This window comes from Homo sapiens, chromosome 3 (genome assembly GCF_000001405.40).
Source record: "Homo sapiens chromosome 3, GRCh38.p14 Primary Assembly".
NCBI lineage: Eukaryota > Metazoa > Chordata > Mammalia > Primates > Hominidae > Homo > Homo sapiens.
In genome coordinates, this window is record NC_000003.12 from 191,486,594 (window position 1) to 191,503,128 (window position 16,535).

Genomic DNA, 16,535 nt, shown 5'->3' on the forward strand with positions numbered 1-16,535 from the left:
AAAACTTCAGGCCAATATCCCAATGAACATTTATGCAAAAATTCTCAGCAAAATATTAGCAAACTGAACTGAACATCACATTAAAAAGATCGTTCGTTATAACCAAGTGGGATTTATCTCAGGGAAGCAACATATACAAATCAATCAATGTGATACATCATGTCAAGAGAATAAAGGACAAAAACATTATGGTTAGTTCAACTGATGCTGAAAAAGCATTTGATAAAATTCACAATCCCTTCATGATAAAAACACTCTAAAAACTGTGTAAATGGACCATTACTCAATAAAATAAAAGCCATATACAACAGACTCACAGATACTATCATACTGAATGCAGAAAAACTGCAAGCTTTTCCTCTAAGATTTGGAACATGAGGTGGAACAGTGTAAAATGATGTCCACTTTTACCACTGTTATTCAACGTATTATTGGAAGGCCTAGCTAAAGCAACCAGACAGGAGAAATAAATAAAAGGCATCGAAATTGGAAAAGAAGAAGTCAAGTTATTCTGGCTTGCAGGTGACATAATCTTTTATATTTGAAAAAAACCTAAAGACCCCACCAAAAAACCACTGGAACTGATAAACAGTAAAATTTCAGGATACAAAATAACATAAGAAAATCAGTAGTATTTATACATGCCAGCAGCAAACAATCTGAAATAGAAATTGAGAAAATAACTCCATTTATAATACCTATCGAAAAAATAAAATACCTAGGAATTAACATAACCGAAGGAGTGAAAGATCTCTGCAATGAAAACTGTAAAATGTTGATGAAAAAAATTGAAGAGGAAACAAAAATGGAAGGATATTCAATGTTCATGGATTGGAAGAATCAATATTTTTAAATGTCCATACTTCTAAAGGAATCTACAGATTCGATGCAATCCTTATCAAAATAACAATGACATCCTTCACAGAAATAGAAAAAGCAATCCTAAAATTTATATGGAACTAGAAAAGATGCTGAATAACCAAAGCTCTCCTGAGCACAAAGAGCAAAGCTGGAGGAATCACATTACCTGACTTCAAATTATACTACAGAGCTATAGTAACCCAAATAGCATGGTACTGGCATAAAAACAGACACATACAGACCAGTGGAACAGAACAGAGAAACCAAAAACAAATACAGACACCTACAGTGAACTCATTTTTGACAAAAGTATGAAGAATATAAACTGGGGAAAAGACAGTCTCTTTAATAAATGGTGCTGGGAAAACTGAATATACATATGCTGAAGAATGAAACTAGACCCCTATCTCTCACCATATACACAAATCAAAAATTGTTCAAAGACTTAAATCTAAGACTTCAAACTATGAAACTACTACAAGAAAACATTGGGGGAAACTCTCTAGGACATGGATCTGAGCAAAAATTTCTTGAGTCATACCCCACAAGCACAGGCAACCAAAGCAAAAATGGACAAATAGGAAAACCTTAAGTTAAAAAATTTCTGCACAGTAAAGGAAACAATAAACAAAGTGAAGAGGGAACTCACAGAATGGGAGAAAATATCTGCAAACTATTCATCTTACAAGGAACTAATAAACGGAATATATATGAAGAGCTTAACTCTGTGGGAAGAAATCTAATAATCTGATTTTAAAATGTGCAAAAGATCTGAATAGACATTTTTCAAAAGACATGCAAATAACAAACTGGTATATTAAAAAGTGCTCAACATCATTGATCATCAGAGAAATGTATATTAAAACCACAATGAGATAGTGTCTCACTGCAGTTAAAACAGCTTTTATCTAAAAGATGGGCAAGAACAAATGCTGGCGAAGATGTAGAGGAAAGGGAACCCTTGTACACTGCTGGTGGGAATGTAAATTAGTACGGCCACTGTGGAATACAGTTTGGAGGTTCCTTAAGGAAATGAAAATAGAACTGCCATATGATCCAGCAATTCCACTCCTAGGTATATACCAAAAAAAAAAAAAAAAAAAAAAAAGAGAGAGAAGTCAGTGTATTGAAGAAATATCTGCACTCCCATGTTTGCTGTAGCACTATTCAGAGTAGCCAAGATTTGCAGTCAACCTAAGTATCCATCAACAGAGGGATGGATAAAGAAAATGTGGTAATATAGACAACGAAGTACTATTCAACCATTAAAAAGAATGAGATCCTCTCATTTGCAAATGAGATGTTATCTATTGACAACACTGATAGAACTGGAGGTTATTATGTTAAGTGAAATAAGCCAGGCACTGAAAGAAAATCTTCACATGTTCTCACATATTTGTGGGAGCTAAAAATTAAAAACAATTGAACTCCTGGAGATTCAGAGTAGAACAATGGTTATCAGGGGCTGGGAACAGTAGTGAGGTGTTGGGCGACAATTGGAGATGGTTAATGCATACAAAAATGTAGTTAGATATAATGAATAAAATCTAGTATTTGATAGCACAGCATGGTGACTGCAATCAACAATAATTTACTGTATATTTAAAAATAACTAAAAGAGTATAATTGGATTATTTGTAACACAAAGGAAGGATAAATGCTTGAGGTGATTGCTAAGCCATTTATCCTGATGTGATTATTACACATTGAATGCCTGTATCAAAATATCTCATGTACCTCATAAATATGTATGCCTACTATGTACTGACAAAAGTTAAAAGAAGAAATTAAAAAGATACCTGCAATCATATATTTATCGCAGAACTATTCACAATAGCAAAGTCATGGAATCAACCTGTGTCCATCAATGGGTGGTTGGATAAAGAAAATGTGGTATGTATACACCATGGAATACTAAGTAGCCATACAAAAGGATGAAATCATGTCTTTTGCAACAGCATGAATGGAGGTAGTAAGTGAAATGACTGGGAAACAGAAAATAAAATGCTGCATGATTTCACTTATAAGTGAAAGCTAAATAATGGGTTCACATGGACATATAGAGCAAAATAATACATTCTGGGGACTCCAAAAGAGGAGAAGGAGGGAATGGGGGTGAGGACTTAAATAGTGTACAATGTTCACTATTTGGGTTATGGGCAAACTACAATGCCAAACATCATCATTATGCAATATATCCATGTAAAAAATCTGCACATGTGCCCCCCGAATCTATAAAAAAAAATAGAAAGATAAGCACTAGAAGACACTATTCCAACTGAATTTATATGATACTTTCTGAATTTTGACAATAAAAAAAATGCTTACATTTGCCTTTTATTGTTGAATTTCTCTACTTGACCTTGTGAGGCCCAATAAGGAAAGAAACATGCTCTAATAACATATTGTTAATATGTGCTTGCAAAGGTGTTTTTCTATCAAAGCCCTCCATTCACTGAAAGAAAACAGCTTGTTATGAATTTTTTTTTTTTTTTTGAGGTGGAGTCTCGCTCTGTCGCCCAGGCTGGAGTGCAATGGCTCAATCTCGGCTCACTGCAAGCTCTACCTCCCGGGTTCAAGCCGTTCTCCTGCCTCAGCCTCCCAAGTAGCCAGGACTACAGGCGCCCACCACCATGCCCAGCTAATTTTTTGTATTTTTAGTACAGACGGGGTTTCACCGTGTTAGCCAGGATGGTCTCAATCTCCTGACCTCATGATCCGCCTGCCTCGGCCTCCCAAAGTGCTGGGATTACAGGCATGAGCCACCGGGCCCAGCCCTTATTATGAACTTTTAAGAAATTTGCCCTTTATAAGTGCATATGTAAACCCTTGCAATATGAACCAATAGAGAAAAAAACATATTGTAATGACATATTCTCTATGTTTACTAATAAAGGTGTTTTTCTATCAAACTCTTCCATTCACTGAAAGAAAACAGTTTAGGATGCATCTTAAAGAAAGTATACTTGGCTGGTCGTAGTGGCTCACGCCTGTAATCCCAGCACTTTGGGAGGCCAAGAAGGGCAGATTACCTGAGGTTGGAATTTTGAGACCAGCCTGGCCAGCATGGTGAAACCCCGTCTCTACTAAAAATACAAAAATTAGCCGGGCGTGGTGGCGCGTGCCTGTGATCCTAGCTACTCGGGAAGCTGAGGCAGGAGAACTGCCTGAACCCGTGAGGCAGAGGTTGCAGTGTTGCAGTGAGCCGAGATCGCACCATTGCACCCTAGCCTGGGCGACAAAAGCAAAACTCCGTCTCAAAAAAAAAAAAAAAAAAAAAAAGGATGGTTACATTTTATTGCCTTTTCTTGCTGGATTTCTCTCTTGGCCTTATAGGGCCCAATGGAAAAAAGAAACATGTTTTAAAAATATATTCTCAATGTGTGCTTACAAAACTGCATGTGTCTAACTTTCATTCATTCAAAGAAAATTTCTTATAATGAATCTTTGAGAAAATATGCTTATATTTACCTCTTATAGCTGCATATGTAAATCCATGTGATATGAACAAATAGATTCTAATAAAAAAATTACAAAGCAGCAACAAATGATATTAAAAGAATACACTTCATTGCAAGTTTATTTGGCATAATCTCCAAGAAAAGGAACCAGAGACAGGAATGCTGGTAATGACTGAGAATTAGTAATGATTTCAAAGGAAACAAGAGAGTTGAACTGAGTCTCAAAGACTGGGAGGCTCAGGGTAAGAGTAGGGTAGAGAAGATAAAGAATTTCTTGGCTTTTGTTACACTGTTTCTTTCAGGGCTTCTTTATTCACTTAACGCCAGTCCTTTCATCTTCATGGGCTCAACACTTTTTTTTTTTTTTTTTTTTTTGCTTTTTAAATCTTACTCAGGATCTCATTTCTTGAGGTCCAATAAATTATCTTATTTCTTTACTTCAAGTTGGGTAACTGTTATTTCTAATAGAAAGAGTTGTACCTTATCCACTGATTTTGGATCCTTAATTTTTTTCTACTTTATACGTGTTTCCTGGGAGATCTTCACCCTTATTTAGATACCATTAAACAGGCTTTAGCAATTACTAAAAACATGATTTCCAAACCTGTTTCTTGAGTTCATACCTTCTTTCTATACTGTTGATTGGGTGATTCTAAACCTGGAACAATTTTGTCCCCTAGGAAATGTTTGGCAATGTTGAAAATCACTTTTGATTTGCCCACTGGAGTTGGGGGTGGCTACTGGCTTCAAGCGGGTAGAGGCCAGTGATAGGCTAAATATCCTACAAGGCACAGGCTGCTTTCCACCTCCTAATCTCTCTCTCTCTCTCTCTCTCTCTCTCACACACACACACACACACACACACACACACACACACACGCACGCACATCCCAAAGAAGCAAAGAATGATCCCATCCCAAATGTCAAAAGTTCTGAGATTAGAAATCCTACTGCAACCCTGTATGTCAAACTGCTAATTGGTTTTTGTAATTTTAATATATCCTAAATGTCTCAGATTATACTTAATCAAAATGGAATATTTCATTTTTATCACCCGAGCTGTAAAGAATGTTCGGACAGAACTTAATATGGTTTAGCCTTCATAACATTTCTTTAACTATTAGCAGTTTCTTTAAGAAGTTAGGTCATACAAGTAAGAATTGACTCAACATTTTGTTTTTCACAAAGCCACAGCAACAAGTTGACACAAAGAACTTAAAGCAGCCGGCCAGTGGGAGTGAGAACTCCTGTTACCAGGTTGAAGCTTCTTTGGGAATCTGTTCCCTTTATTTTACTTTTCCTTTGGATTCTTACCACCTCCCACCCTATTCATGCTCTTCCCCAGGTTATGCCTATTATTTTTTTTGATCCAGTTAACTAATCATCATATGCCTGTAAGATTACCATAAAAATAACTCTGCTTTTGTGAAATAGCTATGCCTATTTCTAATTTGGTAAGGACAATTTCCTGTACTGTGGATTGACATTCTCTGTCAGACATACAATATAAATTTCACATATGTTCACATCTTTAGAAATATAGAATATTATTTCTAAGTTTTTCCCAAATGAGTACAATATACCATTTTTCTAGAAATGTTAAGTATAAACTTAAAAATATCAACATTCCTATCTTTAGTATAAAGTTTATTTTTACATGAAACTGGCAACTACTGTATATAATTGCAACTTGAGGGCTGGGACCAGTGGTGTGTTGGGAAAACAAATCCCTGAAGAAAAAAAAGGAAGAAAAGAAGAAAGAAAGAAAGGAATAAATAAAGAAAATCCATATATGTAGTATTTGCCTATTTCTGTGGAATAAATACTCCCACTGTTGCCAATTTCAGGTTTCCAGTGGTTTAATACGTGACTCATAGACTTCCTGAATATTTAAAAATTGGCTCCCATAAGCCAGGATGAGTCTGCTCCAGTACACCACTGACTACTGTGTTTGGTTCTATAGGTAAAGCAGCAATGAAGTGGGAATCTCATGGTATGGAATTTTTGTCCTGGTTAGCTAGTTCATGTTTCAGCTTCTCAATTGCAAAATGTAATGGTTGCACTGATGATCTCCAAGATCTATTTTGGTTGCAGCAGTCAAAGGTGCAAAGTGTTCTGTCATCAGTTACAATGACTCTTACTGTGAAAACATCAAATGTCACAAAAATTGGAAATGAAATTGCTATAAATGGTGTTTATTTTTCTTTTTTTGTTCATTTTGTTTATTATAGGTTAAATTCTGAATAGGCATCCTACTTCTCTAAAATAACTGTATATGGATTGAAATAATTATTTTTATTATTGAAATATTTTTGTTAGTTTATATATTCCTTCATTAATTATGCTTTCCACACTAAGTAAAACATCCCTGTACCATTAACTTTGGTGTCATTATTTTTATCTAAAAGGAGCCAATTTTTTAAATTGGGTATCTTTTTATGGAATTTTGGCAATGCAACATGAGTTTGATGATGTGACATCTGAGAGATTTCATGAAGAGGCAATCAGTAGTAGGAAGTAGAGACTGTACTTTTTATGTGCTTTATCTAAATAGACATATGCTTCTATTCTTTTATGCTATAAATAATTGCTGGCATCTGTGACATACAGATATTATTATGTTAAGAGTCTGTTTTTGTGAAGTGTAACCAAGCCAAAGGAATAAGCCAAGTTTTTATTCCCTCTTTCTGGTCAAATGCAAATTTTCTATTTAAAAGGCAAAGTTTTCATTACCAAAAGATGAATGAGATGGCACTAAATTTCATTTGGTTCCTTTATTTTTTTACATAGATAATAATGTGTCATACAAAAATATGCAGTAGGTGATTTTCTTTGACTATGAATTTGACACTTATAAAAGTAAAAATGAATTAATTTAACTAAAACTTTCTGCTTCTTTGTTAATCTGCCAGTTAGCCCATGCTAAAACCATATTCATGGCATCATAGAAGGTGATGAATGACTGAATGATCCTGTAGGAGTAACAATTCAATTTCTTTACTAAGTGTATGGGAAAACACACCCAAAGCTAGCAAATGACTTGACCTAAATAATACAGAAAGGATCATTCTGCTTTTTCTGCTCTATCCCAGAGCATCTTGGCATTTAGCAGTATCTATCTTTTCTATTACAAGAACATAAACTTAAAAAATATTCTTTTATCTACCTTCTTACACTACCACTCACAAACAACCTACTTCTTTTTACCTATTTAGATTCAAGAGCCATCGATCTCTTTTATCTCTTTTCTACAAATTTCATAGCAGAATTTGATCATACTCTTCTCTGCGTACTAAAGTGAAGTGACTGATAAGAGATAAAAGAAAGCTCCTTCTAGGAAGCATTTGCATTTTCACAGATATTCAAGAGAACCTTAGATTATCTCTCATAACCTTATTATTTTAGAAAATTTAAGGTTTACAGAATCATTGTAAGATACTACAGAGAGCTCCCATATATCCCACATCCACTGCCCTCTATTGTTAACATCACATTGATATAGTGCATTTGTCATAATTAATTAACCACCATTGATATTTTATTATTAACTAAAATGTATACTTTATTCAGATTTTCTTAGTTTTTACCTAATTTATTTTTTGTATGGCAGAACCTCATCCAGCATAACATACTACATTTTTTTTGGTCTTAATTTCTTAGGTCCCTCTTGGCTAAGACAATATCTCTGACTTTCTTTGTTTTTATGGCTTTAATAGTTTTGAGAATTAGTGGTCAGGTATTTTATAAAATGTTTCTCAATTGGTATTTGACTGATGTTTTTCTTATGATTAGACTGGAGTTATAGGTTGTTGGGAGGAAGACCGCAGAGTTCAAACGCTATTCCGATCACATTATATCAAGGATATATACTATCACTGCATTATCACTGTTTATGTCAAGCTTCAATACCTAGTCAAAGTAGTGTTTATCAGATTTCCCCACTGTGCAGTTACTCTGGGTTTCCATACATTCTTTGGAAGGAAGTCACTACGTGCAACCCATATTTAAGGAATGGGGGTTATGCTTCACCTTCAAATCAAATTATTTACGTAAATTGTTTGGAATTCTTCTGCACAAAAGATTTGTTCATTATCTTCAATTTATTTATTTTTTCAATCATTATGTCACTATGAACTTATAGATATTTGGAATATGATTTAATATTACTTTATTTATGTTGTTGTTCTAATTGTTGCAGCAGTAATCATTGGGTGCTCTTTTAATTGGTTCTTGTGTCCATATGACATTTCCCCATTATCATGTGGTTTTATTGATCACTTTTTTATTTTATGGCAATACTGGAGGCTCCAAGCCTATCTCGTATATTTCCTTTCCTCGTCCTAGAATCAACCATTTCTCAGAAAGTCTTGGTGTCACTTACTGAAAAATGGTACTAGAAACCAAGATCTAGGTGCTAGTTTTACTAACTGTTACTGGGATATCATTGATTTCAGGCCCTGTCAGCTGACACAGCAAAGAAATATATACATGTATACTAACACATTGCACATGATTATAAATATTACTATTTGTAATCATCTATGCATATGTTAAGTTAAACATGAGTTTATACTGATGTCTCCAATTCTAATCCATTACCACATGAATTGGCCTCCTAATCTTGGTTATCCCACTACAAAAATGAGACACCTTGCTCCCACCATCTGTCATCCATTTATTTAATTGTTTAATTGCAGTACATAAGTATAGTAGTTTGAGAATTGTTAGCCTAACCCATGTGGAAAATAACTTTTGAGTTACAGCACAGTGCTTATATACAGTTCCTTTTGACTTCAATCTTAATTTCACTCATTCCAAAGTTGGTTAGGTCAGTGCTTTCTCCCTTGTCCCCACCAGTGAGGTTATTTCATAAATTTGTAACACAGTTAGCTTTTAGTCATACTCTACACTCTATCCTGGGACTCTTCAGCCTCATAAATGTTTTTTCTTAATTGCATACATGAAGGTTCACTCTTTGTACTGTAAATTTCTATGAGTTATCACAAATGCATAGTGCCATGAAACCACCATGTAACCACCATTAGTTTCATGCAGAATATTTTTACCTTAAAATTTCTTGCGCTTCACCTATCAGTTCTTCCGTGCCACCCAAACACCTGCCAACCATCATTATAGTATAATCCAGAAGAGCTTCACCACTTTAAAAAAGTCTCCTGTCCTTCACCTATTCAGTCCTCCAACTTCCCCCTGAGTCACTGCCAACCACTGATCTGTTTATCTCTATAGCTTTGCTTTTCCCAGTATGTCACATAATTAGAATCATACAGAATGTAGTCTTTTCAGACTGGCTTCTTTCACTTAGAAATATAGATTAAGATTCATCTATGTTTATGTATGGCTTGATAGGTCCTTTATTGTTAACACTGAATAGTATTCCATTGTATGGATATACCACATCTTGTTTATCATGTCACCTTTTGAAGGACATCTTGTTTGCTTCCAGTTTTGGAATATTATGAATAAAGCTACTATGGGTATAAGGCTTCAGATCAGTTGGGTAAATATATAGGTGTGCAATTGCTGACTGATATGGTAAGAGTATATTTAGCTTTGTGAGACACTGCCAAGCTGTCTTCCAATGGGGCCGTACCACTTTGAATTTCTATCAGCAATGAATGAGAGTTCCTGTTGCTTTGCATCCTTTCCAGCAATTGGTATTGTTATTTTTTAGGTATTAGTTATTCTAATAGGATTATGGTGAAATCTATTTACTGTTTTAATTTGTATTTCCCTGAGGACAAATGATTTGTGCATCTTTTCATGTTCTTACTTAACATGTGTGTATCTTCTATGATGGAAATGAATAGAGGAACTAAAAATAGACCCACATGTATATAGTCAACGGATTTCAAAAAAGGCACAACTGCAATTCAATAAAGAAAAAATAGTTCTTTCAACAAATAATGGTAGAACAATTGGATATATACAAATGCAAAGAGAGTGAGAGACAGAACCTAGACTCAGAGCTGTGTATGTCTTCTTTGGTGAGGTGTCTGTTCAGAGCTTCTGCTTATTTCTTTGCGTTGTTTGCTATCTCACTGTTGAGTTCTAAGAGTTCTTTGTATGTTCTGGATACAAGACCTTTATCAGATATGTGTTTTGTAAATATTTTGTCCAAGTCTGTGTCATGTATTTTCAGTCTCAACAATATCTTTCACAAAGCAGAATTTTTAAATTGTAATAAAATTGAAATTGACACGTTTTTCTTTCATGGATCACAATGTTTAGTTGGTATTGTACCTAAAATCTCATCATTAAACTCAAGGTCATCTACATTTTTCCTATTAAAAGATCTATTGTGTTACATTTTGCATTTTGGCCTATGAACTATACTGAGTTAATTTTTGTGTGATGTATTAGCTCTGTGTCTACGTTGTCTCCCTCTCTCTCTCTTTGCATATGTATATATCCAACTGTTCCACCACTATTTGTTGAAAGGACTATTTTTCTTTATTGAATTTCATTTGTACCTTTTTCAAAATCAGTTGACTATACATGCGTGGGTCTATTTTTAGTTCCTCTATTCAGTTCCATCAAACTAAATGTCTATTCTTTTGCCAGTATACCACGTTGGCTTCACTACTGCAGCTTTATGGGAAGTCCTTAAATCAATTGTTCACTCTCAGTTCTCTGATAAGTCCAAGCAAAGTAATCGTTTAAGTTTGTCCAGCTTTTTCTCATTGATGACTTCTAAACTCTTAACACGTCAAAGTTGATTCCAGAAGTTTTTCTTCATATGGTTTTTTTGAACTTTTGGGCACGGGTTGGTGGAATTGCTGTTTGATGGTGGGTATGGATTCAGGTTGTACTGATGTTTCAGGTTACTGGCTTATTTCATGTTTAAACTGTTATCAGAGGAAAAACAATCTCTCTATGTCTCAATTTTCCCAAGTTTAAATGAAAGAATTCCAATATACTGTCTTTAAGGTCCATAAAGTAATGTGATAATCCACCATTTCTCTCTGGTGTCTGGTTCCACCCAGAACTTTTGGGTCTAGGAATGTCCTTTTCTGGTGCCTCACCATATTTCCATCAGGCTTTCTTCTGGCCTGAAATAGCCTCTAACTCATGTTGCATTTTATACCTTTCTATAGTTTTGGAGACAAACTATGGTATTATATCATCAAAGCTGAGAAAGCATGAATAATCTGCCAGTCTGCATACCTGTGGAACAGATAGTTGCTTTATTCCAATCTATACTTCTTGTAAATGTTTTGTGGCTTTACTACTACCACCATTACTAGCTATTATTTCTTGAGCTCCATGTGCAAAACAGCATTATATACCTGATACACGTTATCTCATTTATTCTATATATATCATTATACTAAGTTAGATATTTCTCCATTTTATTTATATGCCAATTGTCATTTTGAGTTTACACATTATCTCATTTATTCTATATACCATTTTTCTAAGTTAGATATTTCTCCATTTTATTTATATGCCAGTTGTCATTTTGAGAGAATAAATGGTTTACCTGTGCGCTGTTTAGATGTGAATGACCTGGAATTTGAACTCAGCTCTATAAGGCTTGAGCTTAGTTTCTGATTGGCTTACATGTGTATGTTCATTTATCAGCTACCTTCAATTATATAATGTCTTTTTATGTGATTTACACTTACATTTTATATCTCTAAAGGTTTGTAGGGTAGAAATGCCATCCTTCATAACTAAATAAATAGAATGTTCTTCTGCCAGGTATTGCTTGATGATCCTGAACTAAAATTTTAAAAGATATGAATGGTGATACTGAACTAAAATGTTAAAAAATATAAATTGCCCAGATCTCTAAATAGCTATGTGACCATAAGTAAGTCATATTTATGTTTTCTCACTCTCCAGATACTATTCTAAGTGCTTTATTTATATTAGCTCATTTCCCTCCCTCACAGCAACCTGTAAGACATTATACTATTAGCGATGCAATTTTATGATTGAGAAAACTGAGGGACAGAGCAGCTAAATGACTTGCCCAAGGCACACAATTTGTTGATGCCGTTGTCAGGATGTGAACCTAGGCAGAATGGCTCCAGGGTCCATGTTTCCAGCCACAATGCAATGCTGCCTCTTAGGTGTACTAAGTAATTATTTGACAAACTTTTATTAAATACCTACTGGATTGATGTTGTCAGGTGCAGGGAACACAGTAAAAAAATAACTGGCTTCGCCTCAGTGGGGCTCATGATTTTCTAGATACATGATACTAAAATCATGCTTCATGGAACGCCACCGGCAGCAGGACCTGGGAGCTTCTTAGAAATGAACACTCTATAGGGTCTCACCTGAGACCTACTGAATCTTACGCACATTAAAAATGGAGAAGAGCCGATTCAGGCTACTAGGACCCTAGGCTGTAGATTGCAGCTCTTTGTTCGTTTCTTTCTCTGGATTTTAGTTTCTTCACCTGTAAAAAGAAGGGGGAGTTCCTAGATAATATCTGGAGTTAAGTTCACCTCTAATCCTCCTTACGGGTATCCTCTAGGTCACATTGCAGAAAACAGCAAAGTGGAAGTGACTGAGACGATGGATGCCCATAAACTTTTGCCCAGGTGTGTGGGCTCTTGTGTGTATGATAGAGTGAGTGCCTTTTGCAATAAAGATCAAACACATTGGTGCTGGGTTTCTTTGTTTTTCCTTGTTTCTGTACGCGGCTGAAAAGATTAGATTGTGTCCCAGCAAGCTAGATATTGCCTCCAGACACTTTATACGGCTTCTGTATTTATTTAGAGAGCAGGAAGCCTAGCCCAGCTTCTGCTGTATGAGGCAGTGACGGGAGAATTTAAAAGGGCTGTTTCATTAATTTTGGAGGGAATTTATTGCGGACAAAATACTGCATTATTGATGGTTGGAAGGCAGCACTTGCCTTGTCTCTGAGGAGCTGCGTGGGAGTGCCGCCCCCGCTTGCCTGCAGCCTCCTTGGAGCTGCTGCTGCAGCCGAGGGAAACCCTTCCCAGGCGAGGAGGGAGTCATTCTGGCACAGCGCCTGCCTGCCTGCCCGGGGTGCCGAGCTGTGATGGCAGAGCCTCTTTCTGACTGTATCGCTGCAATCTCTGAACAGGAAGGACACTTAAGAGGTCACACAGCTCCGTCTCGGCAGTTCACAGATGGGGTCCTCGACATCCACAAAGGGCAAGAGATTTACTCACATATAATGGCAGAAATCAGGTAGAAATCAGGTACAGCTGCATAGCTTCATTGCTCCTGTTTATTTTTTTTGCGGAATTAAAACTCTTTTCTAAATGACAGTGGCAGGATGTGCGTGGGCAGTTTTCTATGTGTTCTTTGCACAGCACCGAACTTTGTTTCTCAAATAATGACAATAACATTATAGTTTTACAGACTTTAAATGATGTAAAAAGGAATTAATCTCTCATACATTCCTTGGAAAGATGAGGCGTTAATGGTTTCCAGCCATTTGCAACGGGTCAGGTCTGGGATAGATTTTTTAGACCTCATCGTCTTTGATGCCAACACCAATTTCGTGAGGTGGGTGTTATAATCCTCATTTGTAGAGGCCCAATACAATTAAAAAGCTTGTTCAAGGTCTCAGAGAATGTAAGCAGCAGAGGTGAATTTTTTTTTAGCCATCTTATTAACTTTTGGAAGTTCAGTTCTAGGTTTACACAATATGCTTTTGTGAAAGGTTCCAAGCTGGGTTTTTGAAGGTGGGAGAAAGGACCTTTCTGTTAGCAATGGAGGAGAGAGTGGTGACTGCTATGAAACCAAGAGATGACAATAATGTCTATGAACTAGATGAGCTTTGGAAACACAGAATTTCAGGGACCTTGAAACTCAGGCTAGAATGAAGAGTGTGGGAGATGAAAGGAATAGGCCTAGGCTATGTGAATATTAAGATAAGCAATTGCCTTAGTTCCCACTTTCCTTTGCCAGAACAGAAGCTGTCAATGCAGACTAGAAATGGGCTGAAAGAGGAATTATGGTACAATCTCTCCTATGTACAAATCACTTTCTAGCTTAAAACGGTGCCTATTTGATCATTTAGAAAGTGAGCAACTTGACTACTCTGTGACCTTACGATTCCCATGACACTTGATCTGGAAGGAATCTTAGACCCCTCTTAACTATCAAATTCAAACCCGATTTGGAATATGAGGACAGAGCCCAAAGAAGGAAGAGAATGTTGCAAAAGCTAATGGCGGAATCAAGGTGTTGCTCAATAGCCACTGTAAAGAGTTCTCTCTACCACACCATGTGGCTTTCTATTATTTATATGCATATGTGTTTGTTATAGGTTTACATACATTTGAAATGCATACACTATATATACAATGTATACATACATATTATGTGTGTGCGTATATGTGTGTGTGCCTATATATAAAAAATATATATATATGTATATATATGTTTTTTCCCTGCCTATTTTTTTCTTCAAATTGTGGAGGCTAATGACCTACCTTCAGTGCAGTGAAAACAAAATTACTGCAAATACTCTAAATGCCTAACTGTAGAAACTTTAATTAGAAAAGTTAAAAGAATTGTAGTAAATAGAGCTGTGCTTAGAGTACAGCTGTGCCTGTTCTTTCTGCTTACGGATTTTACTCAGGCAGATTTTTAAAGTTGGAGATAATTAGATTTAGGAGGTTGGAGGTCATAGAATAGGACTGGAGAGGTGTTAGCACTCAGAAATCCTAAGTGTTGTAGGAAAGGCAGCCTGAACAGAATTGCACATTAGTTAAAAACGAGTAAATTGCTGTAAGGTTATTTAGTTTTAAAACACCTAGATTGTCTGCTATATAGTGGAGGGAACATTACTATGGAGTATAATATAGATTTAGTTTTCAGTGTCTGACAGAAAAAGAAATTCAGAAGATTGAATAATATAAAAATAGAATAGAAGTAGATCCAAGGACAAAACATTACATGGAAAACATGGTAGAAGAGGAAAATTAACTGATTAAATGGGAGAAGTTACACACAAATTAGGAATCCCACAAGAGGCCAACAAATTCAAATGGCAAAATGAGATAGTTTAGAATCAGAACGTTATTCCTCAAAGTGTGGCCGTGGGTCACCCACTTTAGAATCATCTGCGAACTGGTTGAAATGCAGATTAGAGGGCTCCCACTTCAGTTCTCTGGAATCAAAGCCTGGGAATAGGGTTTGGTAACAAGTGACAAATACTCTAGTTACTTCTTATGCACACGAAAATCTGGAACCACTGGGCCACGTAATTTTACACATTGCAAATAAATAGAAAAAGAAAACATCTAGAATGGCAGTTTGCACAATTTAAGGAGTAAACTATTTGGGAATCTTAATCCAAAAATTCAGAAAACCGACTCAATAATAAGCAGCACAGTATCCATGCATTTTCCATTTTTAATTTGTAGAACAAATATTGATTGGAATACTAGATAATACACACAGTATTTATGTTGCTTTGATTTATACCCTGCTATGATAAACTATTAGACATGAATTCCCTGGCCTTTTTTCCATTTATTAAAAAAAGGAGAGTCTTGATATCTATGGAGTTATAAGAAAAGAGGTTCAAGGAAGAGAAGACGGGGATACAGAAAAGGAATACATTTTGCTTGAATATAAAACCATATTTCTTTAGGCACAGTACATACTGCCTTTATTTTATATGGCTCTGATAATTAATAGTGAAATAATTGCGCTGAGAGAAAAATATTGAAAATAAGTAGAAAAATTTTCCAAATTGAGTTGTCCATGTACATACACATATATTGTGAAGTAACTAATAGATAATGGAAAGGAAGTTAAGCGTTTGAAAAATTTCCTTTAATGAGTTCAGAAAGGTTCGCTTCTTGCTCCTTACCTTGGCAAGCAAGTTCCTTATTCTTTCACAAGGTGGTGCTGTAAATGTGACTTCCCTTGACTGGCTGAAAATAACCTTTGTTACTTTTGGAATAATTTGAAGTTTAGCTTACCGTACCCTCTTGCCAGTTAACAGTAAAGCATTTGTTAGTAACTTTCTGATCATTTGTTATTTGGCCATGAGAGAAGAGAGAATGTACAGGAAGTCATCTGGAGAAAAACATGGCATCTACTTTGATCTGAAGGTGGAGAGCAAAACCCTTACCATAGTCGCTTACGTATCCCAAAGGGACAAATCTCCAGTTACAGTTCTCACGAAAATAATAATGGGACCAAAACGCAAGAGCAGGAAATTCTCATTGTGCTTGATTTATAGCAACTAAG

The 16,535-nt window shown here is 35.7% G+C and overlaps 1 long non-coding RNA gene across 1 annotated transcript in view, besides 3 other annotated features; it reads left to right on the forward strand.

Annotated features, from left to right (window-relative positions):
* PYDC2-AS1 (PYDC2 antisense RNA 1) overlaps positions 1 to 16,535 on the forward strand; it is a 164,833-nt gene that overhangs the window by 61,070 nt on the left and 87,228 nt on the right. The gene's annotated exons all lie outside the window — the stretch shown is intronic.
* Positions 6,192 to 6,361: an enhancer, noted in NCBI's record as "experimental_67093 CRE fragment used in MPRA reporter constructs". NCBI's record gives its function as "activates a minimal promoter by MPRAs in K562 erythroleukemia cells, with activity observed for both the introgressed and non-introgressed 3:191210659 variant alleles {active_cell/tissue: K562}" and the evidence as "EXISTENCE:reporter gene assay evidence [ECO:0000049][PMID:34662402]".
* Positions 12,705 to 13,259: an enhancer, noted in NCBI's record as "H3K27ac-H3K4me1 hESC enhancer chr3:191217087-191217641 (GRCh37/hg19 assembly coordinates)". NCBI's record gives its function as "activates a minimal SCP1, AML or CMV promoter by ChIP-STARR-seq in naive H9 embryonic stem cells {active_cell/tissue: H9 hESC(naive)}" and the evidence as "EXISTENCE:reporter gene assay evidence [ECO:0000049][PMID:30033119]".
* Positions 13,260 to 13,813: an enhancer, noted in NCBI's record as "H3K27ac-H3K4me1 hESC enhancer chr3:191217642-191218195 (GRCh37/hg19 assembly coordinates)". NCBI's record gives its function as "activates a minimal SCP1, AML or CMV promoter by ChIP-STARR-seq in naive H9 embryonic stem cells {active_cell/tissue: H9 hESC(naive)}" and the evidence as "EXISTENCE:reporter gene assay evidence [ECO:0000049][PMID:30033119]".